This window comes from Homo sapiens, chromosome 17, assembly GCF_000001405.40.
Source record: "Homo sapiens chromosome 17, GRCh38.p14 Primary Assembly".
Classification (NCBI taxonomy): domain Eukaryota; kingdom Metazoa; phylum Chordata; class Mammalia; order Primates; family Hominidae; genus Homo; species Homo sapiens.
The window spans coordinates 45,145,965-45,171,843 of record NC_000017.11 but is presented as its reverse complement, the minus strand read 5'-3'; the positions used below and the strand labels follow the sequence as shown (position 1 = coordinate 45,171,843).

Genomic DNA, 25,879 nt, shown 5'->3' with positions numbered 1-25,879 from the left:
CCACCCGCCCTCCAGCGGGGTGAGGTGGGGGTGCGGGAATTAACCCACCGAGGTGCTGCCCTATTTGCGCCCTTCAGCCTTTTACGTGTAAGGGGGATGTTGGAGGAGCAGCTGGCAGCTTCCCTGCCTCCAGGCTCCTCAGCTTCTGGGCCAAGAAAGGCCAAACTCTTCACCTGCCCCTCCCTGGCATAACCAGCCCACAATGAGCACCCAGCACCCTCACCCACACCCCTCCCCCGACACTCCAGCAGCCCTCTGGAATCTTCTCTCACCTCCTAGACACACACACACAGAGGCACCTCCGGGTAAACAACCTTTGTCCACCTTTGTCCCAGGCCTCCTCTCTCCCTCGGGCTCCATGCTGAGGAATGCAGCTGGGAGGCTGCCAGCAAATGCCAAGGGGCCTCTGGGTCCCAGGCTAGCACCCCACAGCACCCCACAGGGGCAGGCAGGCCTCCAGAGGCTCTCCTGGAATCCAAAAAGCCACTTCCTCGCTAAGCCTCCGGTTTCCCGTCTGCAAAGTGGCGATGATCATTCCTGCTGCCCTTCCTGACTGAGCTGTCTGAGGACCCAGGGTTCCAGGGGCAGGTCTCCCAGGATGAGATTTTGCTTTCTCTTGAAACCCATGCGTTCCTAGAATCTGTTCTGTGTTTCATTGTAGGAGGCTCTGGCCAGGCCTGGGTGTGGCAGGATAGAAATGAAAGTTGTCCTGGCAACACACAAGATTTCATCAACATTTCCATCCCCAGCAGCTCCTGGGCCAAGCCTCATCTTGCCCAGTGTGGCCTGTCAAGATGACGGCCTGGAAGAGAAGCCAGACTGGGCAGCCAGGCCTCTGCCCCTCCCCTTGCCTGGTGGCACAGCCAGCACTGGCTCACTGGTGAGTTGACTAATTTCCTCCGCCACCATTAGTTGTCCATGTTCATTGCTGCCTGACACCCAACACCAGTCTGCAAGGGCACCAGGAGGGGATGGAAGAGACAGGGTGTCTGGGGAAGGGTGGGTCTGAGTGCGAGGGGGTGGGTGAGCTTGTCTCAGAGCCTGACGCTGGCTGGTGGTATCTGCGTTACCCAGGCTGACCCAGCTCTCTCTGATGCAGACAGGCGAGGGCCTCACACACTTCAGAGAATTCACACCCACATGATGAGGCTGAGAGGAGCAGGACGCACAGACACATGGCAGGCACCAGGAGAGCCAGGCTGCTCTGCTCTGCTGGCGATCCATGTGCTGTCCCCCTCTGTCTCTTGACTTTATTTTCCATCAGGAGAGCGCCTCCCTTATTACCCTTGGGAGGTAAGGGACAAACACAAACACATGATGACTAACCTCAGGCCCAACCCCCTGCAGAGAGGGGTCAGGGTTGGGGGCTGTCAAGAACAAGGAGGCACAAGGCACCCAGAACCCGTCTAGTCCAGCCTTTAAACTGTGGGGAGAATACAGGGAGCTCAGGAGCAAACTCTGAAGGAACCCCTGGGCCTGGGTCTTCTCCGAAAACCCCCGTTCTCTCCTCCAGGGAAAGCTCACAACTCCTCACAGCGATCTGGTATCTTGAGCGTCAGTTTCTGGCCGAAACTGGGGGCTCCTGACTGAACTCCCTCCCACCTAGAAAACCTTCTGTGCAGTCTGATTGCTCCAACACCCACAGAGCAGGATTCAGGTATCCCGGAGACCTTGGGAGGTCCCCATCCAGAGGTCTGCTGTCCTGCCAGGCTTGGGGCAGCAGGGACTGGGACCCCACTCAGACCTCTCTGGGGCAAATGTTTTGGTTCTCACAACAGCCCTAGTGAAATCAATCCTAGATACTCCCATTTGGTCCCACCAAGGCCATTTAATTTCTCTGTAAAGGGTAAGATGACACAAAAGAGCCAACTATGGAAACGGTGAGGTGGGAGTCTGAACCGATTTAGCTGTTCTCAGGGCGCACAGGGTGTTGACGGTGGTTTTCATCTGCCACCTGCCTCCTTGAGACCCAGCTGGCCTGAGTGTGCACGAAATGGGACCTTCTCCTTGGGTCCACCAGGCTGGGAGGCACCCCTAGGTACCCGGCTCCTCATCACAGCGGCAGCCCTCTCGGTTCCACATCTGGTTCTCCTGACGAAGCCGCTGGTTTTCGGTCCGGAGCCTCTGGACCTCGGCAGCCAGCTCCTCCACCTGGCGGCAGGACTGCTGGCCGGTGCACGCCTGCAGCTGCTGCAGCCTCCTAGTCTCCTCCTCCGCCTGCGACAGCCGCTTCTCCAGCTCCAGGTAGTCTCGCACCAGCTCCTGCTTGCTGCGGCCCTGCAGGCTCTCGGTGTGGAAGCGTTCGTAAGTCTCAGAGAAGTCCTTCCGCTGGAACTCACCGTGCGCTCGGCCCCGCCCATCACTGTCCCCGGCCTCACTCTCCCCACTGGAACCTGGGTGGGAGATCCCATGGGGCACATCCAAGTTGGGCTCCTCCGGGTCCCTGTCATTCATCAGGAACTGGGTGGTGTTGTAGGGGGCCACGGGCTGGCCTTTGGCGAACATCTCTTCGCGGACCCGGGAGGCCCTCTGGCTCTGCCTCTCATCCCGCTGTTGTTTCTCAGCCCAGCTCAGCTCCAGGTAGGGTCGCCAGTGCCTTTTGCGCTTCGATGGCCGCCGACGGTGTTTCTTCCGGGCCAGCACAGCCTCCGCTGAGCAGCCCCCTGGGCTCTGGGTCCGGGGACTCCTACTGTTCCAGCCCAGGCCACCGACAGCCCCAGCAAGATCTTCATCCTCTGAGTGGCTCTCCATCCGCGGTGTCAGGGGCAGGGAACCACCAGAGTCATGACGCTCAGGGGGTGTTTGGGGGCTCCCCGGGGCACCAGAGGTCTAAAGAGAGGGAGGAGGAAGAAGGATGGATCAGACAGCCTGTCCTTGGAGGTGGAACCTTTCCCTCTCTACCTAGCCTGAAGCCTACCTTCCTACACTCAGCTAACTTGGTCACTCTTAGCCCCTCAACCTTTTGGAACCATTTGTTTACAAAGAGACCTGTCTACTGTCTGTCCCCCAACCTTCCCCAAGTAAACTCATGGTGAGAGCAGGAATTTTGCCTGTGTGTTTCACTCTGTAATTTCAATGCCTAGAATAATACCTGGCACTGAGTAGGAGTTCCATAAATACTGTCCAAATGAGTAAAGTAGGAGAAGAAGAAAACTGGGATAGAAGGTGGATCTTGATGCATTTGCTTGATCAGAAGCCCAAATGGCACCGGCTCTTCCCTCTTCCCAGAAAACCTGACTTTCAAACACCACTGGCTTCATGGGCAGGTGACCTGTGAAGTCCCACAGAGGCCCCACACCTGGCTTCATGCTGTCCTTCTCTTAAACATGTTATTCAAAAAAAAAAAAAACCTTATTTTATTTCATTTTTTGAGATGGAGTCTCGCTCTGTCACCCAGGCTGGAGTGCAGTGGTGCAATCTCGGCTCACTGTAACCTCTGCCTCCGGAATTCTCCAGCCTCAGCCTCCCGCGTAGCTGGGATCACAGGCACGTGCCACCACGCCTGGCTAATTTTTTGTATTTTTAGTAGAGACAGGGTTTCACCATGTTGGCCAGCCTAGTCTCAAACTCCTGACCTCAGGTGATCCACCCGCCTCGGCCTCCCAAAGTGCTGAGATTACAGGTGTGAGCCACCGCGCAAGGCCTAAAATAAGTTTTTTAGGCTCAGCATGGTGGCTCAGGCCTGTAATCCCAGCACTTTGGGAGGCCGAGGTGGGCGGATCACCTGAGGTCAGGAGTTCGAGACTAGGATGGCCAACATGGTGAAACCCTATGTCTACGAAAAATACAAAAATAAGCCGGGCGTGGTGGCACGTGCCTGTGATCCCAGCTATGCAGGAGGCTGAGGCTGGAGAATGTGGGCGGCGGAAGTTGCAGTGAGCCAAGATTACACCACTGCACTCCAGCCTGGGTGACAGAGCGAGACTCCATCTCAAAAACAAACAAACAGGCCGGGCGAGGTGGCTCACACCTGTAATCCCAGCACTTTGGGAGGCCAAGATGGGTGAATCACGAGGTCAGGAGATCGAGACTATCCTAGTTAATGTGGTGAAACCCCATCTCTACTAAAAATACAAAAAAAATTAGCTGGGTGTGATGGCGGGCGCCTGTAGTCCCAGCTAGTCGGGACGCGGAGCTTGCAGTGAGCTGAGATCGCGCCACTGCACTTCAGCCTGGGCGACAGAGTGAGACTCCATCTCGAAACAAACAAACAAACAAACAAACAAAAAAGACTCTTATTTTTAGAGACAGGGTCTTACTCTGTTGCCCAGGCAAGAATGCAGTGAGGTGCAATAATAACTCCCTGCAGCCTCAAACTCCTAGACTCAAGCAATCCTCTTGCCTTAGCCTCTCAAGTAACTGGATCTACAGGCATGCGCCACCACACCTGGCCACTGTCTTTAACTTTTTAATAATTTTTGAATAAGGTGCCCTTTTGCACTGGGCCCCACAAATTATGCAGCTGATCCTGCTTCCAGCTATTTGCATGGCTTTTTTTTCATCTTTTTTTTTGTGTGTGTGTGAGAGTCTTGCTCTGTTGCCCAGGCTGGAGTGCAGTGTTGCCATCTCAGCTCACTGCAACCTCCGCCTTCCAGGTTCAAGCGATTCTCCTGCCTCAGCCTCCTGAGTAGCTGGGACTACAGGCGTGTACCACCATGCCAGGCTAATTTTAGTATTTTTAGTACAGATGGGGTTTCACCATGTTGGCCAGGCTGGTGTGGAACTCCTGACCTCAAGTAATCTGCCCACCTTGGCCTCCCAAAGTGCTGGGATTATAGGCATGAGCCACTGCACCTGGGCTTTTTTTTTTTTTTTTTTTGAGACAGAGTCTTGCTCTGTCACCCAGGCTGGAGTGCAGTGGCCCGACCTCAGCTCACTGCAACCTCCACCTCCCAGGTTCAAGCGATTATCCTGCCTCAGCCTCCAGAGTAGCTGGGATCACAGGTGCCCACTACCATGCCCAGCTAATTTTTTGTATTTTTAGTAGAGATGGGGTTTCACCATGTTGGCCAGGCTGGTCTCAAACTCCTGACATCAAGTGATCCACCCGCCTCGGCCTCCCAAAGTACTGGGATTACAGGTGTGAGCCACCACTGCCAGCTACCTTTTTTCATCTTTTAGAGCTTAGTTCCAATGTCACTTCCTTAGGGAGCCCCTCCTTGACCACCCTACCTAATGTAGACTCCCCCATCTCGCCTCCCTAGTGATTCTATCACATCACACAGTTAGCACATAGCATTTAGCATATGGCCATTTAACATCTGTCTTCCTCATGTGAGAACGCATCTCGTCTGTCTGTCCAAGTCACCACTATATTCCTATGCACAGCACAAGGGCAGTGCTCAGTAAATATCTGTTAAGTGGACTAAAGATTATAGGATAGGGAGATCCAAAAGATATTGGGAAATAAGACTTACGGCCGGGTGTAGTGGCTCACGCTGGTAATCCTAGCACTTTGGGAGGCCAAGGAGGGTGGATTGCTCAAGCCCAGGAGTTCAAGACCAGCCTGGGCAACATGGCGAAACCCCATCTCTACCAAAAATTACAAAAAATTAGCCAGGCATGGTGGTGAGCACCTGTAATCCCAGCTGCTTGGGAGGCTGAAGTGGGAGGATCACTTGAGTCCAGAAGGTTGAGGCTGCAGTGAGCTGTGATTGCGCCACTGCGCTCCAGCCTGAGTGACAGAGCTGGAGTCTCAAAAAAAAGACTCCCCTTCTCTATCCTTCTGGCATAAAGAAGATGCAGCGGGCCGGGCGTGGTGGCTCACGCCTGTAATCCCAGCACTTTGGGAGGCCAAGGCAGGTAGATCACCTGAGTTCAGGAGTTTGAGACCAGCCTGACCAACATGGCCAAACCCCGTCTCTACTAAAAATACAAAAAAATTGGCCGGGTGTGGTGGCACGCACCTGTAATCCCAGCTACTTGGGAGGCTGAGGTAGGAGAATCGCTTGAACCTGGGAGGCGGAGGTTGCAGTGAGGCGAGATCACGCCACTGCACTCCAGCCTGGGCAACAGAGTAAGACTCTGGCTCAAAAAATAAAATAAAATAATTAAATTAAATTAAATTAAATTAAAAAATAAAATAAAATAAAATGATGGAACATATTTATTCCAGGCAGAAGTTGGTAGGTGGTATCACTCTCCAATATGAATGGCAGGAAAGAGATCCTCTCCAAAGAGAGGGAGGGTCAGCCTCCAGTCTGCAGTGAGAGAGTTCCAGAACTTATCTAAGAGGTATAAAGGCTGTCAAGAGAGTGTATGTTCAGGGCATCTGTTTATCTCTGTTGTGGGAAGGGTGGGAGTACTGGGTGTGGGAGATGGGAAATGAATTGCTCTAAGTTTGTGGTTTGGGCAATTTCTAATAATAACCACTACCACTGGTATGTTGTTGAATAATATGCAACGCAGTTCAGAGACATGTGAGCGTGGTCCATGCACACAGGGTGTGTACTGAGGAATGTGGTGTATGCGCGGCCCTTAAGAGCCAGGCATATGTCATGTGTGTTTTGCAGACCCCGAAGAGAATTTCAGGGAAAAGGAGGTATGTCAGGGTGTGTATGTGTGTGGGGTGTGTACGTATGTGGAGTTTGTTGTGTTACTTCACCTGCAGGGAGATCACGAAATAAAAGCAATAGCCCTTGTCTCCACCAGTGGCTTGGGCCAAATAAGACAGAGCTGTTGCCCCAGCTGGGACAGGCAAGGCCACTGGGATGCCAAGGCATGGTGGCTTGTTGGTGTGCACAATCAGTCACATGCTCCCAGCCCTCAGTAGAAGTGCCCTATTGATCCTCCACCCTCACCCAAGCGAGCCCAGCCCCCTAGCCCTACCTGCTGCCTCCCTCCTGAAGACTTGGCCCTCTACCACCATGACCACTACTGTAGATAAGCTGTGTGACCTGGCTGAACATTGTAGCCCTGACATGTCATGAATTCCGAATTCAGTCAATCCAGAAAACACGGAATGGGCTAGGCAGGGTGGGTCAGAAGCTCTCTGACCTCTGTCCTAAGCCCCCTGCTCATCTATAGGGAGTCGTGGACTAAGGAAGAATGGGTAAGGGCAGGTACTGAGAGAACATGGGCCGAACAAGCATGGGTTCCTGTTGCCAGGTTGGGAAGTGCCATCCTCTGAGGGCCTGATATGATCTTTCTCTCTCCTCTTTCGTGGGTTATATCCTACCCCCACCTCCATTACAAATTATTATTATTTTTGAGAAAGTCTGACTTTGTCACCCAGGCTGGAGTGCAGTGGCATGATCTCAGCTCAGTGCAACCTCTGCCTCCTGGGTTCAAGTGATTATCATGCCTCAGCCTCCCAAGCAGCTGGGATTACAGGCATGCACCACCACGCCGGGCTAATTTCAGGTTTTTTTGTTTTTTTGGTTTTTTTTTGAGACGGAGTCTCGCTCTGTTGCCCAGGCTGGAGTGCAGGGGCGTGATCTCAGTTCACTGCAAACTCCGCCTCCCAGTTTCAAGCGATTCTCCTGCCTCAGCCTCCCAACTAGCTGGGATTATAGAAATGTGCCACCACGCCTGGCTAATTTTGTATTTTTAGTAGAGATGGGGTTTCTCCATGTTGGTCAGGCTGGTCTCGAACTCGTGACCTCAGGTGATCCGCCCACCTCGGCCTCCCAAAGTGCTGGGATTACAGGCGTGAGCCACTGCACCCGGCTTCCAGCATTTTTTTTTTTTTGAGAGAGTTTTGTTCTTGTTGCCCAAGCTGGAGTGCAATGGCACAATCTCAGCTCACTGCAACTTCTGCCTCATGGGTTCAAGTGATTCTCCTGCTTCAGCCTCCTGAGTCGCTGGGATTACAGCCGCCTGTCATTACGCCCATCTAATTTTTGTATTTTTAGTAGAGACAGAGTTTCACCATGTTGGCCAGGCTGGTCTTGAACTCTTGACCTCAGGTGATCCACCCACCTCAGCCTCCAAAAGTGCTAGGATTACAGGCGTGAGCCACTGCGCCTGGCCTGTTTTTGTTTTTGTTTCTTTTTTGAGATGGAGTGTCACTCTGTCGCCCAGGCTAAAGTGCAGTGGTGTGATCTCAGCTCACTGCAACCTCTGCATCCTGGGTTCAAGTGATTCTGGTGCATCAGCCTCCTGAGTAGCTGGTATTACAGGCATGTGCCACCATGCCCAGCTAATTTTTGTATTTTTAGTAGAGATGAGGTTTCACCATGTTGGCCAGGCTGGTCTTGAACTTCTGGTCTCAAGTGAATTGCCTGCCTGGGTCCATTCCAAATTATGAACCAAAAACTCTTCTTCCTGCTTCAGACTTGGTTCTTAGCCTGGACAAAATGTAAACATTCAACCCAGTCCCTCCATGCCCTCTTTGGACTTGAGGTCAAGGCAATGTTCTGTTGTCAGAAGGCCCTAAGTTTAAACCCTGGGTCTGTTGCTTGTAGATAGCATGATTCTGGAACAGGTATTTCAGGTCTCAGAACCTTAGCTTCTGGGAATTGGAAATAATTCCTACCTGAAAGGGTTACTAGGATTTTTTTTTTTTTTTTTTTTTTTTGAGACGGAGTCTCGCTCTGACGCCCAGGCTGGAGTGCAATTGCGAGATCTTGGCTCACTGCAACCTCCGACCCCTGGGTTCAAGCGATTCTCCTGCCTCAACCTCCCAAGTAGCTGGGATCACAGGCATGCGCCACCACTATGCCAGGCTAATTTTGCATTTTCAGTACAGCCAGGGTTTTGCCATGTTGGTCAGGCTGGTCTCGAACTCCTGACCTCAGGTGATCCACCCACCTAGGCCTCCCAAAGTGCTGGGATTACAGGTGTGAGCCACCGCACCCGGCCAGTTACTAAGATTTCATCAGCTAGCATAGACTGGGATTCCGGCCTATTGCCTAGTGCATAGTACTGATTCGTCAAAATACTGGTTTTCCAAATCTACCAACACATCTGGGACAAGAAGTTTGGATCTCAGCTGTGGGACCCGTGCTCGTGGTGCTTGGGTGGGCAGGAGGGCAGGGACTTACCTTGGCCTCCTCCAGGGCCACTGGTGACTCTGCATTACAGGCGGTCTGGTTCGGAGTGGCCATCATCTTCTGTTCCAAATCTTTCAGCAGACGCCTGGAACTAGTGACACCTGCTTTGAACAACAACAGAAACCTAAATCCTGAAGGAACGTCAGGAATACTCTGGCTGCCCAGAATTGTTTGCCCAGGCAGTGGCAGCCATTTTGTACCCCAGCCCTTCATACCCTTATTCTCAAATGCAGGCCCCGAAGGCTGCCTCCACCGCTGGTTTTCACACCTCCAGCCAGCAAGGGGCCAAATGGGATTCAGGGGCCGTCTTCTCTGTCCTGCTCCTCGGGTCCCTCACCAGGACTCATGTCCTGTACTGTCCTCCTGGAAGTCACCGAGGCCCAGGTTGGCAGCCAGGAAGCCAGGTGTAAGTTTTGTTTCCCCAACCACCAAAGGGGCAAAGGAGGACTGCCTGGGGAGGCTGGGAGTGCAGCGGGGCTGCTGCTGCCACGGGAGAACATGGAGCAAGCTCACGAGTCCTTCCCCACTGTCTCCAGTGGCCCCAATCTTGATGCAGCCCTGCACCCCCAACCTTCTCCCCAAGCTGGGCTCCAAAGGCCAGAAGCACAGCTGGGACCTGGGCCAGCCTAGTGCTGAGGACTTTTCCTCTAAGGTCCTGGCCTGCCTCCCTCCTTCCTCTCAGAAAGGGAAACAGGAGAAAAGGGGAAAGAGGTCTTTGCACTACATGCAGCTGGGAGGGAAACCCAACTAGGATAAGGATGGATTTCTTGGAAGAAGGGAGACAGTCATGGAAAGAGGTTTTGCAAAGGTGGAACTGACCTATTCGCTGTCAAGGGCTATGCACACCACTACATCTGTGTGCCTTTCTGTGCGACTGCCTGTCGGTGCAATTCCCAACGCCTGAGCCCTACCTCTTGCTGCAGTTGCAGCAGCTCTGGTCAAGCCGCTCAGGCCACTAAGATGGGGGGGAAGAGAGAGCCTGGACGCGCGGTGCCTGCTGGGGATTGTAGTTCTTCTGGCCTGAAAAGCGATCCAAGGGCCTGTAACGTCAACAGCCACACCCGAGACTCCAAAACCCATCTACCCTTGCGCGGGGGCAGACCGCGCGCGCATCACTGCCTTCTTTGATTGGTCAAGCCTTCTGCCAATATTCTCGCTTTTTTGGCAACGATTAGCTGTGAGGAGGCACAACTGGACCCGCCTTCTCCGAACTCAATTAAAGAGTTCATTGATGGCGTTAATCTTTACGGGGCAGAAAATAGATCCGGCTAAGGTGGGCGGGGCAGCAGGCGCGGAGGGATCCTTGGCCTTTGAGGAAGGCGACGAGAAGCTCGGCGGCCATCGCCGCCATTTTGGGCTGGGAGGAGGCAGCGGAGGGACTCGCTGCGCAGTGAGAGCACCCCGTGGGGGGTGGTCCGGGCGCGGGGAGAGGCCGGGCCGAGTGGGCTACCTGAAGTGGCGGCGCCGGGAGACGGCGGGAAGTGGGACCGGGGGCCAGGGAGGGTGAAGGTTGGAGTCTCCTCGGCCGAGCCCGGTCCTCAAACCGTCCCGGCAGCCCCGCAGCCTCGCCTCTCACAGAGTGCGGGGTTCTTCGGTAATTACCGCGTGTTTCCCGAGACCCCAGAAGGGGAGAGGCTGGTGAAACGGCTTCCCTCTGCGGTCTTTCCACAGGGGCGCGGATCCTGAGGCCGAGCTCTGCCAGCTTCCCTCCCCACCCCCATTCGGCCTGGGTATGGCGGCGAGGCCCCGCACAGAGGGACTCCCACTTCGACTGGAGAGGTGGGGGCGACGCCAGATTCCAGAGGCTGGCGCCGCGGGGGAGGGCGGAGGTCGCAGGTCTGGCCACAAGTCGGCGTGGCAGTCAGCTGGAGGCTCCGAGAGCGGAGATCCCAGTGCACCCACCTTACCTCGCTTACACCAAAGCGCCATCTCGCCGCCCGGGTTGCGAAAAACCACGACCCTCTTAAACTACTGTAGCAACCACTAATTCCCCCTGGGAGCAGCTAGAGAGGGGCACTTGGAAACCTTCACGAGCTCGGTGCCTGAAGGTCTCTGAGGCTCTTGCCCTCAAGATCTCTCCCATTCAGCCCCGATTCTCCGGACAACCTGACCTAGCATGTCGCCAGCCTCTTGGTGAAACGCCTAAAGTGTGCTGCCCCACTTCTCTTGAAAGTTTACACCGAAGGGATGAGGTTTTGCCCTTTACAGGGTTGGGGCACAAAGTCGGAGTCGCTGCGGCTCCGAAATAGAAACGGAGTTGCCCATTTCGTATGCTTCATCAACATCTGCTTGCATTTTGAAATCCTAGTCTTAACTTTTACACAACTTTTAGAGAAATGGCTGCCCTCCTAGAGGGAAAAACGAACTACAGTAATTCCAATTCCAATGTAATCTTTGTAAGACTACAAAATCTTTCCAGTTTAAAGATTTTTCTTTTCCCACAGACTAAACAAAGTCAGAGTATTTTGTGTTCTACTGGTGCATTGTTACTAGGTAACCTCAATTTTTTGAAATTCCAAGTAATTGAAGGATCACTTTTGTAGATCCTAAATGCTACCAAAAAAGAAACCAGTTTTTATCTACTTCATATGTATAGCGTTTAAGAGATGAGGAGACCTGCTTTGAAAGAATAAACTCTTAACCTTACATTATAGCTGTAGCAGCTTCTTAAAGATTGAAGTTTGATGTGAAGTTCTTTTATTGAATTGCAGGTTAAACCATCTTACTTCCTACTGCTTGAAATCTAAATCCAGAGAGATTTGTGGCTCAAGGATATCTTCAAATAAAAGTTTTATTGCTAAAATGTCAGTTAAAATTATGCCTAGGTAGGTGCTGAAGTAGGAGAGGCTTTGACGTAGCAGAGTGACTGGCAGTGAATTTTGTGGGTACCTTGTGATGAGTCTTATTATCAGTTACAAATGGTCAAAACATGCCTAAGCCTTCAGCCTTACTAAAAGTTTAACAGAACTTGGCCTGGCGCGGTGGCTCACACCTGTAATCCCAGCCCTTTGGGAGGTGGAGGCGGGTGGATCACCTGAGGTCAGGAGTTTGAGACCAACCTGGCCAACATGGTGAAGCCCCTTCTCTACTAAAAATACAAAATTAGCCGGGTGTGGAGTTGCGTGCCTGTAATCCCAGCTACTCGGGAGGCTGAGGCAGGAGAATCGCTTGAACCCAGGAGGCAGAGTTTGCCATGAGCCTCTCACCGTTGCACTCCAGCCTGGGTGACAGAGTAAGACTCTGTCTCAAAAAAAAAAAAAAGTTTTCCAGAACTGAAGTTCTGCTCCTCCTATTAATAATTTTTCTTCAGTTGGAGTGACAACTCCATAGCATTAACTTTTTTCCCTCTGCTCCCCAGATGTTTTACAACTGGATTACAAAATAGGATCATCATTGACTAGGGTCCTCAATCCAAAACTGGAACCACTTACTCCTAACTGAAGCTTCAGTACACTTGATGCCTACTGTGGTTTGATTTTTTACCTACATATGACATGTTCGCTCTACACTGATCAAGAGATGTGAGTTTAAAAAAGCTAACTAACTTGGTAGGACTTAAATAGTCATAGGAACAGAAAAGGCTTTTAAAGACGATCTTTGTGGGTCTTCTGTCAAGAATTTAATGGAGGATCCTAGACACTTGGGATTCATCCTCCATTATGAAGTAATCTAGTGAAATTTTTGGATGCTACTGAGTGGCAAATACTGTACCAGCAGCAGAAATTTGTTACTCATTTGTAAATGAAACTTACTATCCTTAAGGTTGACCCACAAGCTTTTCCATTCTTTGCTAAGAAAAATTGGGAATAGGCCGGGCACAGTGGCTCACGCCTGTAATCCCAGCACTTTGGGAGGCCAAGGCGGGCAGATCACGAGGTCAAGAGATTGAGACCGTCCTGGCAGACATGGTGAAACCCCATCTCTACTAAAAATACAAAAATTAGCTGAGTGTGGTGGTGTGCACCTGTAGTCACAGCTACTTGGGAAGCTGAGGCAGGAGAATTGCTTGAACCCCGGGGCTGGAGGTTGCAGTGAGCCGAGATCGTGCCACTGCACTCCAGCCTGGGTGACAGAGCAAGATTCTGTCTCAAAAAAAAAAAAAGAAAAAATGGGAATAAAACCAGCTTATTAGTGGCCTCCTGGTTATCTAAGGAAAACACAGGACTGTAGGACTGAAAATTAGGAACTCCGAGCTCTGTTTCTGTGTGTGCTGCCCTTAACTTGGTTGACTTGGCCAGAGGCCAAATACTGATAATGAGGCCAAACTGGTCATTTTGCTGCTTAGTCTATTGTTCATCTACTGTTCAACCAGACTTTCAACTTCCTTTTCAGCTCTCCCCTCTCAGATGAGTTGCATTATGCTTTTATGACAAATTCTACAAACTCTATATTCATTTGAAAATGGTATCAGCACTGTCTCCCTCATAAATACCTAGAGGAGTAACTAGTCTTAAGTCGCTATGTAAACACTTACTCCTTGTAACTTTGTTATATGAGAACTTCACAAGGAATGCTTCAAAGATCATTGGGGCAGTTGGAAAGCCTGCCTTACCAAAGTGTGGCCTTAGTTGTCCATAGCATCACAAAAGAGCCATCCAAGTAGGCTGAATGAGGATCAGTCTCTCAGGGTGCCCACTGGTTGTGGCTGTGAAGTCCTGGACACTCATTTTGCCTGATGGCCAAATCCTAGGGAGCAGTGACTATGTGTGAGTAGGATTCGTTGACAGAGGTAGGAGGTTTTTTTTTTGTTTTTTTTTCCTGCTGCCTGTATAATTGCAGAAAAGGAGTGATTCTTTACAGTAATTCCCCCTCTTCGGGATGAAGATGCTTGCTTCTGTTTGGTTTCCACAGTTAAATCAATTTTTTTTCCTTTTCTTTTGAGATGGAATCTTGCTCTGTCGCCCAGGCTGGAGTGCAGTGGCGCGATTTCGCCCACTGCAACCTCCACCTCCCAGGTTTAAGCGATTCTCCTGCCTCAGCCTCCCGCGTAGCTAGGATTACAGGCACTCACCACCATGCCTGGCTAATTTTTGCATTTTATTTTTTTCTGGAACGGAGTTTCACCTGGTTGCCAAGGCTGGAGCGCGATGGTGTGATCTTGGCTCACCACAACCTCTGCCTCCTGGGTTCAAGCGATTCTCCTGCCTCAGCCTCCCAAGGAGCTGGGACTATAGGCATGCGCCACCATGCACGGCTAGTTTTGTATTTTTAGTAGAGATGGGGTTTCTCCATGTTGGTCAGGCTGGTCTTGAACTCCCAACCTCAGGTGATCCTCCCACCTTGGCCTCCCAAAGTGCTGGGATTACAGTCAGTGAGCCACTGTGCCCGGCCTGTATTTGTATTTTTAGTAGAGACAGGGTTTTACCATGTTGGCCAGGCTGGTCTCCAACTCCTGACCTCAGGTGGTCCGCCCACCTCGGCCTCCCAGTGTGCTAGGATTGCAGGCGTGAGCTACGGTGCCTGGCCAGTTAATCAGTTTTTTACCCTCCTGTGTTTAGGCCCCAACATCCTGTTCTTGATCTTTTTTGGCAAAAATTTGGCCAAAGATTGAAATTTTGCCTCCTGGACCATATATTTTGCTCCAGTTGCAAAGTATGACTTTTATCCTTTGGTCAGCAGTTCCCATGGTGTTTAGGGCCTGAATTTGACATTCTTTTTTTTTTTTCTTTTTGAGATGGAGTCTAGCTCTGTTGCCCAGGCTGGAGTGCAGTGGCACGATCTCGGCTTGCCGCAACCTCTGCCTCCCGGCTTCAAGCAGTTCTCCCTGCCTCAGCCTCCCAAATATCTGGGATTACAGGCGCCCACCACCACACCCGGCTAATTTTTGTAGCTTTTTTTGTTTGTTTGTTTGTTTTTGAGAGTCTCACTCTGTCACCAGACTGGAGTGCAGTGGCGCAGTCTCGGCTCACTGCAACCTCTGCCTCCTGGGTTCAAGCAATTCTCCTGCCTCAGCTTCCCAAGTAGCTGGGACTACGGGTGGGCACCACCATGCCTAGCTAATTTTTTTTCTGTATTTTTAGTAGAGACGGAGTTTTACCATATTGGCCAGGATGGTCTCGATCTCTTGACCTTGTGATGCGCCCGCCTCGGCCTCCCAAAGTGCTGGGATTACAGGCGTGAGCCACCGTACCTGGCAACATTCTCTTTTTTTAAAAAAATAACTTTTTATTTCTAGCCTCAACCATTTACACTTTGCTTGAGAAAGAATAATAAAGTGGAATTGTTATTCCAGTGATGTTGTGCAAATGTGAGAAATAGTACTTCCCCCAAAAAAACAAACCTCGAAACCCCACAAACTCAAGTGTACTTAAGTACTTAACGTTCAAGTACTTTTTAACTATAACCAACTTTTCCACCACACTGTTGTGAATATTTGTTGCTAGCTGTTATGGGTATAAGTGATCAAGGGAAGAACTGATGCATTACCTAATGCTTGACTAAATATAGCCAGCCCTTAAGTAGGTAGAGTATTTGGTTGTGGGTTTTGTTGTTTAAGTCTGTGGAGTCCCTCTTTGGTTTCTTTAACTTTTGCAGTCATTAGGGCAGAGTATATTTATTTACATTTCTCCAAGCAAAGTCTTGCTCTGTTGCCCAGGCTGGAGTACGGTGGCGCGATCTCGGCTCACTACAACCTCTGCCTCCCAGGTTCAAGCAATTGTCCTGCCTCAGCCTCCCGAGTAGCTGGGATTACAGATACCCGCCACGATGCCTGGCTAATTTTTGTATTTTTAATAGAGACGAGATTTTGCCATGTTGGCCAGGCTGGTTTCGAACTTTTGACCTCAAGTGATCCATCTGCCTTGGCCTCCCAACGTGCTGGGATTACAGGCGTGAGCCACCATGCCTGGCCTAAATTTACTTTTTAATAGAGACGAGGCTGGTTATGTTGCCTGTGTTGGTAACTGTGTTGCCTAGGCTGGTGTCAAGTGCTTGAGCTCAAGTGACCCTCCTGCCTTGGCTTCCCAAAGTGTTAGGATTACAGGCATGAAGCCACTGCGCCTGGCCTGTCTAATCTTTATTATGCTTCCCCTCTTTAGAGATACTTAGTCTGTTTTTCAGAACTAAACCAATCTGGAACTCCCTGGCTCTCTCTCCTAAAACTCTGAAGTCTAGAGGACCCTGTCTCCTGAGGGCTCTAAGAAAAGCTGTCCAGCTAGCTGTGTCAGTTTGAGAAGCAGTTTTTCCTGATTGAATACCTAGGCCCCAGTAGGAAAAAGGGAACAAACTGAAATTGCTAATTTGTAAGCCTGGTCTTTTGAGCAGCTCAGTTAAAATGCTTGACAGAGGACTTAAGTGAAAGGCTAGAGTGGGCTTGGGGTTCATTTATCATCAAAGCCCCCTGTTCAATGTAGGTAAATCAGCGGGGTGTGTTGGTATCCACCTTTAGTCCCAGCTACTCAGGAACCTGAGGTGGGAGGATCACTCAAGCCCAGGAATTTGAGGCTGCAGTGAGATATGATAGCGCCACTGCAGTCTAGCTTGGGCAACTGAGGGAGACCCCATCTTTTTTTTTTTTTTTCAACTTTTTTTTTTTTTTTGAGACAGGGTTTCACTATGTTACCCAGGCTGGTCTCAAACTACTGAGCTCAAGGATTCTGCCCACCTTGGCCTTCCAAAGTGCTAGGGTTACAGGTGTGAGTCACCGGGCCTGTTGAAACCCCAATTCTTTAAAAAAAAAAAAAAAGCTTTTTTTTTTTTTTTTTTTGAGACAGAGTCTTATTCTGCCACCTAGGCTGGAGTGCAGTGTGGCGTGATGTTGGCTCACTGCAACCTTTGCCTCCCGGATTCAAGTGATTCTCCTGCCTCAGCCTCCCAAGTAGCTGGGATTACAGGCACCCACCACCATGCCCAGCTAATTTTTGTGTTTTTTTGTTGTTGTTTTTGTTTTTGAGACGGAGTCTCGCTCTGTTGCCCAGGCTGGAGTGCAGTGGTGTGATCTCGGCCCACTGCAAGCTCTGCCTTCCGGGTTCACGCCATTCTCCTGTCTTAGCCTCCCGAGTAGCTGGGACTAAAGGCGCCCGCCACCACACCCAGCTAATTTTTTGTATTTTTAGTAGAGACGGGGTTTCACCATGTTAGCCAGGATGGTCTCGATCTCCTGACCTCGTGATCCGCCCGCCTTGGCCTCCCAAAGTGCTGGGATTACAGGCGTGAGCCACCACACCTGGCCAATTTTTGTATTTTTAGTAGAGACAGGGTTTCACCATGTTGGCCAGGCTGGTCTGGAACTCTTGACCTCAGGTGATCTGCCTGCCTCGGCCTCCCAAAGTGCTGGGATTACAGGCGTGAGCCACTGCGCCCGGCCTTTTTTTTTTTTTTTTTTTGAGGCTGAGTTTCACTCCTGTTGCCCAGGCCGGAGCACAATGGGGCGATCTCGGCTCACTGCAAACTCCGCATCCCGGGTTCATGCCATTCTCCTGCCTCAGCCTCTCAAGTAGCTGGGACTACAGGCACCTGCCACCATGCTCGGCTAATTTTGTATTTTGTATTTTTAGTAGAGATGAGGTTTCTCCATATTGGTCAGGCTGGTCTCTTAACTCCAGATCTCAAGAGATCCACCCACCTCAGCCTCCCAAAGTGCTGAGATTATAGGCATGAACCACCACGCCCGGCCCAACCTTTTTTTTTTTAAATTAAAATATAGGTAACTAATTGTTTTCTCTGCCAGGAGAGCAATATGCTAGTTAAATGTTTCAATAGAAAGTGAAGAAATAGGAGGCCGGGTGTGGTGGCTCACACCCATCATCCCAGCACTTTGGGAGGCCGAGGCAGGTGGATCACGAGGTCAGGAGATCGAGATCATCCTGGCTAACACGGTGAAACCCCGTCTCTACTAAAACTACAAAAAAAAAATTAGCTGAGCGTGGTGGCGGGTGCCTGTAGTCCCAGCTACTTGAGAGGCTGAGGCAGGAGAATGGCATGAACCTGAGAGGCGGAACTTGCAGTGAGCCGAGATCGCGCCACTGCACTCCAGCCTGGGCGACAGAGCAAGACTCCATCCCTCACCCCCCCCCCAAAAAAAAGAAAAGTGTAGGAATAGGCTGGGCTTGGTGGCTCACAACTGTAATTTTGGGAGGCGGAGGAGGGCGCATTGCTTGAGCCCAGGAGTTTGAGCCCAGGAGTTTGAGACCAGCCTGTGCAACAGGGTGAAACCCTGTCTCTCCAAAAAAAAAAAAAAAAAAAAAAAAATAGCCAGGCGTGGTGGCAAGTACCAGCTACTCAGGAGGCTGCAGTGGGAGGATCGCTTTAGCCTGGGAAGTGGAGGTTGCCGTAAGTCCAGATCGCGACACTGCACTCCAGCCTAGGCAACAGAGCAAGACCCATCTCAAAAAAAAAAAAAAAAAAAAGCCAGGCGCGGTGGCTTATGCCTATATTGCCAACACTTTGGGAGGCTGAGACGGGCGGATCACTTGAAGTCAGGAGTTCGAGACCAGCCTGGCAACCATGGCGAGACCCCGTCTCTACTAAAAATAGAAAAATTAGCCAGTTGCAGTGGCGTGCACCTGTAATCCCAGCTACTCGGGAGGCTGAGGCAGGAGAATCGGTTGAACCCAGGAGGCTGAGGTTGCAGTGAGCCGAAATCACGCTACTGCACTCCAGCCTGGCGACAGAGTGAGACTCCGTCTCAAAAAAAAAAAAAAAGTATAGAAAGTGTTAAAACTGAAATTTTGAATAAACCTCATCATTGTGAGAATATAAATGCAAAAAAAAAGGTAAAATGCTAGTGCCTTTGAAAGCAAAATTCAGACATACTTGCATAGCTTAAGGTAAATTGATGTATGAGAGTTATTTGTAATTAGATATTTGTGTATATATATATTTTTGAGACAGTTTCGCTCTTCTTGCCTAGGCTGGAGTGCAATGGCGCGATCTCCTCTCACTGCAACCTCCACCTCCCGGGTTCAAACGATTCTGCTGCCTCAGCCTCCCGAGTAGCTGGGATTACAGGCATGTGCCACCACACCCGGCTAATTTTTGTATTTTTAGTAGAGACGGGGCTTCTGTATGTTGGTCAGGCTGGTCTCTTAACTCCTGACCTCAGGTGATCTGCCCACCTCAGCCTCCCAAAGTGCTGGGATTACAGGCATGAGCCACTGTGCCCAGCCTAGATATCTGTATATTTGAAGACTGGGCTGAATTTGTCTTCTAAAACATACTTTTTCTGATGATAAATGCATTTATAGTCTTTCCAAGATTCATTTTCTAAATATCATTTTTCTAATACTAGGGGAAATAAGATTTTCATAGCTGAATCCCTCTTTAAGAAGAGGGTCTGGGCTGGGCGCAGTGGCTCATGCCTGTAATCCCAGCACTTTGGGAGGCCGAGGCGGGCGGATCACCTGAGGTCGTGAGTTCGAGAGCACCCTGACCAACATGGAGAAACTACGTCTCTACTAAAAATACAAAATTAGCTGGGGGTGGTGGCACATGCCTGTAATCCCAGCTACTAGGGAGGCTGAGGCAGGAGAATCGCTTGAACCTGGGAGGCAGAGGTTGCGGTGAGCCAAGATTGCACCATTGCACTCCAGCCTGGGCAACAAGAGCGAAACTCCGTCTCAAAAAAAAAAAAAAATAAAGAAAAAGGGTCTAATATCAGAGATAATCACTGCTGCATCTTACAGTTCAGTCAAAATGAGGCTTCAGCTCTGCACTGTAAAGCCAGAGGGCACTGTTGCTGCCTTTCCAAGCAGCTGTTTTTCTGGGGCTGCTGCATGACGTCATAGCAGAAGAAAAAAACACGAAGAAAACTATTTCAAAATAAATGTTTAATATAATTTTTAGACCAAAGAAAAACTCAATCATACATTGTCTCCAGTGGACCATATGTGCCAGAACAGGACCAACTCAGTCCAGCTTTGAAGGCCCTGATTCAGTCCTACTGGTATAATCTCCCTTGATTTATTGATTTGTGTATGCTTCTTATGCAATACAAGGTGCATTTTACTCTTGAAGTCCCTATCACCTCCACCATCGCCATTTAACTGCAAAAGCATGCTTCCTAATGGGAGGGTTTTCTTCCCCCTTCCCTGCAGAGGTTCTGAACCTTCAAGGAGTTTGACAATCTTATGAATCTCTTGAACCTTCTCCCCAGAAAAATGTACATACAAGTCTACAAATAATTTCATGGGGTTCATGGACCCCAAGGCCCACAATGGTTTCTAAGGCCCCAAATTAAGGAACCTCTGTGCTAGTGATTTGAGCAACGCAATTGCCCTCAGAAGACACTGACACAGGGCAGGTGAAGGACTGGGTTAACCAAAATGACAGGAGGCAATCTCATAATTTCTGTTTTTATTTTGGGGCAAAATTTAGTTCTCAGGGCCTCCCTACGTTTAAGAGCAGAACTACTCAAGAACCTAAGCAGCTATCAGCATAGTTTAAGCGATTTAGAATAGGGCTGTGCAAGGGGATGTACAGGGTTCCTCATTCAGCTGAGGACCTCATTTAGCTCCTTAACTGGAAGCTTTACATTTGATCTGCAGTGAGGGGACATTTCTAATTTTAGTTTGACCCACATGGAAAGGTGGATAGCTTTTTTTTTTTGTTTTGGTATAGAGAGCACGTAGAATTGGACAATTAGGTAAATCCTTGGAATCCCCCAAACAGCCATTTGCTTTATAAATCCAGTATTTCTTACCTCTGAACGTCTTAAAGAGCTGCCTCACAAATTAATCTAACCATTGCTTGCACTAAGAAGTTTGCCAAGAGCCTCTTCCAGCCTTACTGGGGGGAAGGAAGAGATTACTGAAAACCAACTTGTAGGAATGAAATGAGGCTGTCAGTTGTCTAACCTAACAAACTGCCAAATTAGGTTTACATTTTTTGTTATTAGACTTTTGAATGGCCGAGGCAGAGTTAAATTTAAAATTTTGGATTGTAGCCACTTTCCACTCGCCTAAACACTCAATACCGGTTTGTTTATTTTTCCAGCATCAAGAAAGAAAACCAAGGCACTAGAAAGCAAGCACACTTAAGTATTGAAGATAATTACATCTTAAATTTTGCCTGAACTGTATATTGTAGCATACTTAAACCCATTCAAGGAAAAAATTGGCAAATTGAAAATTCTCCCATTAAAGATTGATATTTTTGCAAACTGACAAATTTAACGATTTCGGTACCCCTCCCCAAAAATGCAGTCACATAAAATATATCAATACTATTTTGAATTAGCTCTAGAAATCACACTGAAACTATGTTACATTTACAAATATTAAATTTATTATAACTAAAATGAATTTAATTGTTCTCAGATTTGGCCACCTTATAGCTCCGTTTAAGGAGGGGATTTGTTAAAAACAAAAATGCATTATAACTTGGTCAAATTACTTTCACATTAAGGAAAAAAACTTCTAAAAAGGAAAACAAGAAAAGCAACTCTTCAGTTTCACATAATTAAAAGAACAGGAGAAAGCACGCAAGCTACATATAGCTAAATTTACGAAACCAAAGCCAGGGGGATTTCTCTTCTGATTATGTGTCATAAAAAGGTCCACTGTCTTATATACACATGTATATAATGTTACATTCCATCACTGTAAAAAGTCCCCTTTGCCCCCTCCCCCAAAAAAGTTTCAGTCTAGTCTCCAAACTTGGAAAGCGGCGCTCGCTCCTGCTGCCGGTGCAGTTCGTTCTCGGTCAGCAGCTGGAGGTTCTCGGCGCGCAGCCGGTCCAGCTCCAGCTCCAGCTCCCGCACACGCGCGTCGTCGCCACCCAGCCGCTTGCTCTCCAGCCGCAGCCGGTTGTTCTCGTCCTCCATGCGCGAGAGGCACTTCTCCAGTTCCAGGTACTCCTTGATGAGCTCCTGCTTGCTCATGTTCTGCAGGCTCTCCGTGTGGTACCGCTCGTACGTCTCCGAGAAGTCCCGCTGCAGAAACTCGCTGCCGTCCCCTCCCATCCCATCGCTGCCCCCATCCTCCTCACCCCCTTCTTCCATGAAGTCGTCATCGCTGGTGTCGTCGGATTTGGCGGCGGCCCGCTTGGAGTACAGGCCGGTTTTGAGATCCGGCTCCTCCTGGTCGTGATCATCCATGAGGAACTGCGTGGTGTTATAGGGCGCGACCGGCTGGCCCTTGGCGAACATCTCGGCTCGGATCCTTGAAGCTCGAAGGCTCTGTTTCTCGTCGAACTTTTTCTTCTCTTCCCAGGTCAGCTTGTAGTACGGTTTCCAATGCCGCTTCTTCTTGGACGGGCGTCTCCTATGTTTTTTCTTCCCCAGCTGTCTCTGCTGCTGTCCCCACTCCTCTTCGCCCCCTGCGGCAGGAGCCCCCAACTTACTGGCCTCGGAGTCATGACAAGGCTGGGCGAGCAGCTCGGCCTCGGGCGTCGGTTCCACTTCTGCCGGCGGCGGGAAGTCGCCGCCAGCGGACGAGTCGTCCCCATTCTGGCCCTTCTCGCCCTCTCTCAGGCAGCTAGATTCTGGACAGGCCTGGGTCTGCAAGGGAGGTGGTTGGGATTCCAGGCTCCCTTCCCCCTCCGGCCCCGGACGGCCACCCAACTGGGGGAACGCTCTCGATTGCCACCTACTGTCCTCCTCGGGCACCCGCTCCTCCGCGCCTGGGGGGCGCTCAGGGTTCAGCTCTTCCTGGACAGCAGCAGCACCTGTACAGTTGCTAGTTTGAGGCTGGTGTTGATATTCTGACAAGAATGGCTCGGCCATGGCTAGTAGAGTCCTCGAAGTTTAAGAAATTTTGGCTAGTAAGTCCTTAAGGAAAAAAATGGGTTTTTCTTAAAAAAAAGAAAAAGAAAAAAAAAACAGTCCAACAGAGTCCTCTTCAGTTTGTAATTCCTGCAGTGACGCCTTTAGCTAGTCCTTCTATCAGCAAACTCCAACTGCAATCTGGGGAGCTCAAGTCAGTAAAGGGTTAAGCGCCCACAGTGCGGCCAGCTAGCGGGTCCAAGGGGGTGCAGCGGCAGGAACAGTACGTAATGGGCGGAGGTGGGCCTCAAACCTCCAAGCGGAGCACCCCAATAAAGGAGTTGGTGAGCAAGGTGATGAGGGTAAGTCCAGTGCGTGAAACCCAGCCCCGAAGGGGTTAAAACTACCGATGACGCTGCCTCCGAGGGGCCAGATCCACAAAGGGTTAAATCCCCTGCCGCAGAGCCCACAAGGGGTTAAAGTCCCGGCGCCACCTCCTCCCACTTCCACGGGTGTCGCTTCCACCCAAGCTCCCAGTTCCCTAGGCCCGGCCGTAGCCTCAGCAGAGGACAGACAAACTCATCTCCCCTTTGGCTCGATGCTCTGCTCTGCTCAGTTCTCCTCCGCCTCCTCCTCTTTTCCTCCCTCCCTCCTCCCCCTTCCCACAGCTCCTCTTCCGCGTCCTCCCCCGACTTTCCCTCCCAACCTGCCTCTCCACCTGCCAACTTCCAACTGCTGTCTCCCAGTCCTCTGCGCCCCTTTTATATAGAAGCTTTTTCGCCCCGCCCGTGCGCATGCGTAACGGAGTTCCCTTTGCGGGGCGCCGGGAGTCGTAGTTCTTATCTTTCGGGCCCGCCGCCCTCGCGCGCCGTGCGACGTAGCCAATCCCAGGACGCGTAGGGGGCGTCTCCCTGGCCGCCACCTTCCATCGCTTAGACCTCGCTAAAGAAACGCGAGCGGCCATTGGTGAAAAATCACACGACTCGCTGAGGAAGGACGGCCAATCGCAGAGAAGATGGGGCGGGTTCTGGACCGTACCATTCTGTTTCAGGAATACGAGAAGATTCGATGGCCTATGAGAGTCCTCACAGAATATTTTTATGAAAAGGTGCGTTATAAAGGCTATTATCGTATTTTGTTCTCAGCGGAGGGGTTCCGAAGGTTATGAACCTTTATTAACTAACGCAAGAATGGTTTATTCCTAAAAAGTAGTCCCTAAAATGTAAAAGAATTAAATCCTATAAAGAGAGACGTCGGCCCACGGCTGCTAACTCGCGAGTCTTAAGATTATAGAAATGGCTTCAAGGCGGGTGGTGAGTGCCTGAGACTGACACTTGCGGAAGGATATCGCGAGCACATTTTGTAAAGACCGAAGAGCGCATGAAGAAGTAAACAAATGAAGAATAAAAAGTGCCGCCTTAAAGGGACAGTGTGACTGCGTTTAGCGCCGCAGGCTCGCACTAGGCCTCGGAAGACGAAGAGGCGGGTTCGAGTCCCGGTGACGCGACTCCCGGACTGACCTCGGTACCCTTAGCTGAAGGTGGCGGAGTCCCAGCCCCAGCCTGGTCTCAGAAAGCCGCCCCCGCCCCAGGGGCAAATGCAAACTGGTGATTCGCGACCAAGGCTCTTCCCTGGGCCGAGATCGGAAAGCCGGGGCCGGGGGCGGGCGGGGGAGTGGAGGGGGAAGCGGGGGAAGGCCACGCCCCCACGCCTCAGCTTCTGTCGAAGAAAATGGCCTCCTGGGGCCGATTTGGTCTTTTCACTTCCGACCGAGATCATTTCCTGAGCCGGGACAGAGGAGGTCCGGGACAGCCATGAGGCTGTTTGTTGGGAAGAGTTCGGAATGATTAATGAGTTGAAATCATCAGCCCTGGCTATCCGAGAGGGAAGCAGGTCTCACCCGCAGAGGCCCTTCCTCATCAGTGGGCGCTGGGCAAGACTGGGAGGGAAGCATGGAGGAGGCCTTGCTCCGAAACTTGCTGCAGGGGATTCTGGCGCAGGGCTGGGGGGGCCGATTCCCCCGGGGGCGTAGTTTCTCAGAGAGAAATTCTCTAGACCCAAGCCCCCAGCCCTCCATAAACAGGGACTGAGAGGACCCAGAGAACCCTCCATACCAGTCACTGAGGCCTAAAATCTTGGCGCCCTTTCCACTTCTCCTTCGCCACACACCCAGTGACCCTTTCTTCTTATTGCTTCCTTAATAGCATCCCTGACATTCCAGCACGTTTGCACTGTGTACCTTTTACGCACAGAGCCATGTGACCTCACCACAGCCTGGCAAGTTAGACACGATAGGAATGAGTGTCTCCATTTTACAGATAAGGCATCTCTAAGACACTGGAAAATAAGTGACTTGTCCAAGGTCACATGACAACCATGGGGCAGTTCTGGCTAGAGCGCTGGTCTTTGTGACCCCCCCCGTGCCATTTTTCTTTCTGTCACAAACACAAAACCCATTTTTTCTTAAAATCGGGGAATACTCTGGATTTCGTTCTTTTTATTCCCAACAACTTCAACCTTATTCAGCCCCTATATCACTTGGCAAACAGGAGGGTACAAAGAGGGGTGGGATGCCATTCTTGCCTTCAAGTTGCTCCTGGACTGTGGAGAGGCCATCAGACCACAGCCAGCCTAAATGGCAAGTGAGGGAAATCCTGGTGGGAGCTGATGAGCCGAGTGCATGGGAGCTGGGAATTATGGACAAGTGTCAGGAGCAAGTGACTTCCTGGCTGGCTCTGAAGGATGAAGAGCTTTCAGGCAAAGTGGCACGAAGAGGGGCATTTTAGGAAGCCCAAGCATCATGTGCCAGGAAAGGGCTAGTCTGGGACTTCGGTGGCTCTGGGCAGTGTGAGATATCGGGGGTGGGGGCCAGTGGTGATGGGCATGGCCAATGTAGATGCCTCTAAGGGGAGCCGCAAGCACGCGGGCCTCTGGGCACAGCTATATGTTCTGAAAATGAACACCTTCATTTGTTTTCTCTGGGCTTCCAAGAATTCGGGTCCACCTGAAAAGTTCGCCACTCCGTGTGGCTTCATCCCTTAGGAGGCTTCCTGAGAGCAAGAACTGCCCCTCAGAGCACTCCTGGAGGAAAAAGGGATTTTGCAGATAACTTGGTTATCACAGAGAGTTATCACAGAGACCTCCAAATTGTTACCCCATCTTCAGACTCCAGAGGATTCTGGGGTACCCCCAGTCAGGGCATTTGGAAGGCACTGCTGAGCCTAGCCTCAGTGTCCTGGACTGGGCT

General features: G+C 50.6%; 2 protein-coding genes and 2 long non-coding RNA genes across 19 annotated transcripts, besides 14 other annotated features; 2 read left to right on the top strand and 2 right to left on the bottom strand.

The window, feature by feature from the left end:
* Positions 128-422: an enhancer, noted in NCBI's record as "tiled region #8248; HepG2 Activating DNase unmatched - State 1:Tss". NCBI's record gives its function as "activates a minimal TATA promoter and a strong SV40 promoter by Sharpr-MPRA in HepG2 cells {active_cell/tissue: HepG2}" and the evidence as "EXISTENCE:reporter gene assay evidence [ECO:0000049][PMID:27701403]".
* HEXIM2-AS2 (HEXIM2 antisense RNA 2) lies at positions 359-3,039 on the top strand. The gene is made up of 2 exons (NR_135646.1): positions 359-880; positions 1,514-3,039. It is a non-coding gene; the product is annotated as an HEXIM2 antisense RNA 2 (long non-coding RNA).
* Positions 509-1,467: an enhancer, noted in NCBI's record as "H3K27ac-H3K4me1 hESC enhancer chr17:43247744-43248702 (GRCh37/hg19 assembly coordinates)". NCBI's record gives its function as "activates a minimal SCP1, AML or CMV promoter by ChIP-STARR-seq in primed H9 embryonic stem cells {active_cell/tissue: H9 hESC(primed)}" and the evidence as "EXISTENCE:reporter gene assay evidence [ECO:0000049][PMID:30033119]".
* HEXIM2 (HEXIM P-TEFb complex subunit 2) lies at positions 1,804-11,670 on the bottom strand. 15 transcript variants are annotated; one of them, XM_047435323.1, is made up of 5 exons: positions 10,901-11,670; positions 9,813-10,013; positions 9,209-9,356; positions 8,985-9,097; positions 1,804-2,829 (listed from the first exon to the last, which is right to left on the bottom strand). In XM_047435323.1, exons 4-5 carry the CDS (start codon positions 9,048-9,050, stop codon positions 2,035-2,037), a joined length of 861 nt encoding a protein of 286 aa, XP_047291279.1. In that variant the 5' UTR covers positions 9,051-9,097; positions 9,209-9,356; positions 9,813-10,013; positions 10,901-11,670; the 3' UTR covers positions 1,804-2,034. The 15 variants fall into 15 exon arrangements, with proteins under 15 accessions (XP_047291279.1, XP_011522610.4, XP_011522609.4 ...); XM_011524308.4 differs by lacking the exon at positions 9,209-9,356 and having other exon boundaries at positions 9,905-10,013; positions 10,596-11,670; XM_011524307.4 differs by lacking the exon at positions 9,209-9,356 and having other exon boundaries at positions 8,985-9,094; positions 9,905-10,013; positions 10,596-11,670.
* Positions 9,487-10,102: an enhancer, noted in NCBI's record as "NANOG-H3K27ac-H3K4me1 hESC enhancer chr17:43239109-43239724 (GRCh37/hg19 assembly coordinates)". NCBI's record gives its function as "activates a minimal SCP1, AML or CMV promoter by ChIP-STARR-seq in primed H9 embryonic stem cells {active_cell/tissue: H9 hESC(primed)}" and the evidence as "EXISTENCE:reporter gene assay evidence [ECO:0000049][PMID:30033119]".
* Positions 9,730-9,859: an enhancer, noted in NCBI's record as "active region_12281". NCBI's record gives its function as "activates an Ori minimal core promoter by ATAC-STARR-seq in GM12878 lymphoblastoid cells {active_cell/tissue: GM12878}" and the evidence as "EXISTENCE:reporter gene assay evidence [ECO:0000049][PMID:35858748]".
* Positions 9,870-10,069: an enhancer, noted in NCBI's record as "active region_12280". NCBI's record gives its function as "activates an Ori minimal core promoter by ATAC-STARR-seq in GM12878 lymphoblastoid cells {active_cell/tissue: GM12878}" and the evidence as "EXISTENCE:reporter gene assay evidence [ECO:0000049][PMID:35858748]".
* Positions 10,103-10,718: an enhancer, noted in NCBI's record as "NANOG-H3K27ac-H3K4me1 hESC enhancer chr17:43238493-43239108 (GRCh37/hg19 assembly coordinates)". NCBI's record gives its function as "activates a minimal SCP1, AML or CMV promoter by ChIP-STARR-seq in primed H9 embryonic stem cells {active_cell/tissue: H9 hESC(primed)}" and the evidence as "EXISTENCE:reporter gene assay evidence [ECO:0000049][PMID:30033119]".
* Positions 10,220-10,449: an enhancer, noted in NCBI's record as "active region_12279". NCBI's record gives its function as "activates an Ori minimal core promoter by ATAC-STARR-seq in GM12878 lymphoblastoid cells {active_cell/tissue: GM12878}" and the evidence as "EXISTENCE:reporter gene assay evidence [ECO:0000049][PMID:35858748]".
* HEXIM2-AS1 (HEXIM2 antisense RNA 1) lies at positions 10,306-22,182 on the top strand. 2 transcript variants are annotated; one of them, NR_186789.1, is made up of 3 exons: positions 10,306-10,383; positions 12,352-12,514; positions 20,925-22,182. It is a non-coding gene; the product is annotated as an HEXIM2 antisense RNA 1 (long non-coding RNA). The 2 variants fall into 2 exon arrangements; NR_186788.1 differs by lacking the exon at positions 12,352-12,514.
* Positions 10,719-11,334: an enhancer, noted in NCBI's record as "NANOG-H3K27ac-H3K4me1 hESC enhancer chr17:43237877-43238492 (GRCh37/hg19 assembly coordinates)". NCBI's record gives its function as "activates a minimal SCP1, AML or CMV promoter by ChIP-STARR-seq in naive H9 embryonic stem cells {active_cell/tissue: H9 hESC(naive)}" and the evidence as "EXISTENCE:reporter gene assay evidence [ECO:0000049][PMID:30033119]".
* Positions 19,745-23,369, bottom strand: HEXIM1 (HEXIM P-TEFb complex subunit 1). The gene has a single exon (NM_006460.3). The coding sequence runs from the start codon at positions 22,651-22,653 to the stop codon at positions 21,574-21,576; it is 1,080 nt and encodes a 359-aa protein (NP_006451.1). The 5' UTR covers positions 22,654-23,369; the 3' UTR covers positions 19,745-21,573.
* Positions 21,711-22,266: an enhancer, noted in NCBI's record as "H3K27ac hESC enhancer chr17:43226945-43227500 (GRCh37/hg19 assembly coordinates)". NCBI's record gives its function as "activates a minimal SCP1, AML or CMV promoter by ChIP-STARR-seq in naive H9 embryonic stem cells {active_cell/tissue: H9 hESC(naive)}" and the evidence as "EXISTENCE:reporter gene assay evidence [ECO:0000049][PMID:30033119]".
* Positions 21,981-22,040: an enhancer, noted in NCBI's record as "active region_12278". NCBI's record gives its function as "activates an Ori minimal core promoter by ATAC-STARR-seq in GM12878 lymphoblastoid cells {active_cell/tissue: GM12878}" and the evidence as "EXISTENCE:reporter gene assay evidence [ECO:0000049][PMID:35858748]".
* Positions 22,671-22,780: an enhancer, noted in NCBI's record as "active region_12277". NCBI's record gives its function as "activates an Ori minimal core promoter by ATAC-STARR-seq in GM12878 lymphoblastoid cells {active_cell/tissue: GM12878}" and the evidence as "EXISTENCE:reporter gene assay evidence [ECO:0000049][PMID:35858748]".
* Positions 22,831-22,880: an enhancer, noted in NCBI's record as "active region_12276". NCBI's record gives its function as "activates an Ori minimal core promoter by ATAC-STARR-seq in GM12878 lymphoblastoid cells {active_cell/tissue: GM12878}" and the evidence as "EXISTENCE:reporter gene assay evidence [ECO:0000049][PMID:35858748]".
* Positions 22,931-22,980: an enhancer, noted in NCBI's record as "active region_12275". NCBI's record gives its function as "activates an Ori minimal core promoter by ATAC-STARR-seq in GM12878 lymphoblastoid cells {active_cell/tissue: GM12878}" and the evidence as "EXISTENCE:reporter gene assay evidence [ECO:0000049][PMID:35858748]".
* Positions 23,384-24,266: an enhancer, noted in NCBI's record as "H3K27ac hESC enhancer chr17:43224945-43225827 (GRCh37/hg19 assembly coordinates)". NCBI's record gives its function as "activates a minimal SCP1, AML or CMV promoter by ChIP-STARR-seq in primed H9 embryonic stem cells {active_cell/tissue: H9 hESC(primed)}" and the evidence as "EXISTENCE:reporter gene assay evidence [ECO:0000049][PMID:30033119]".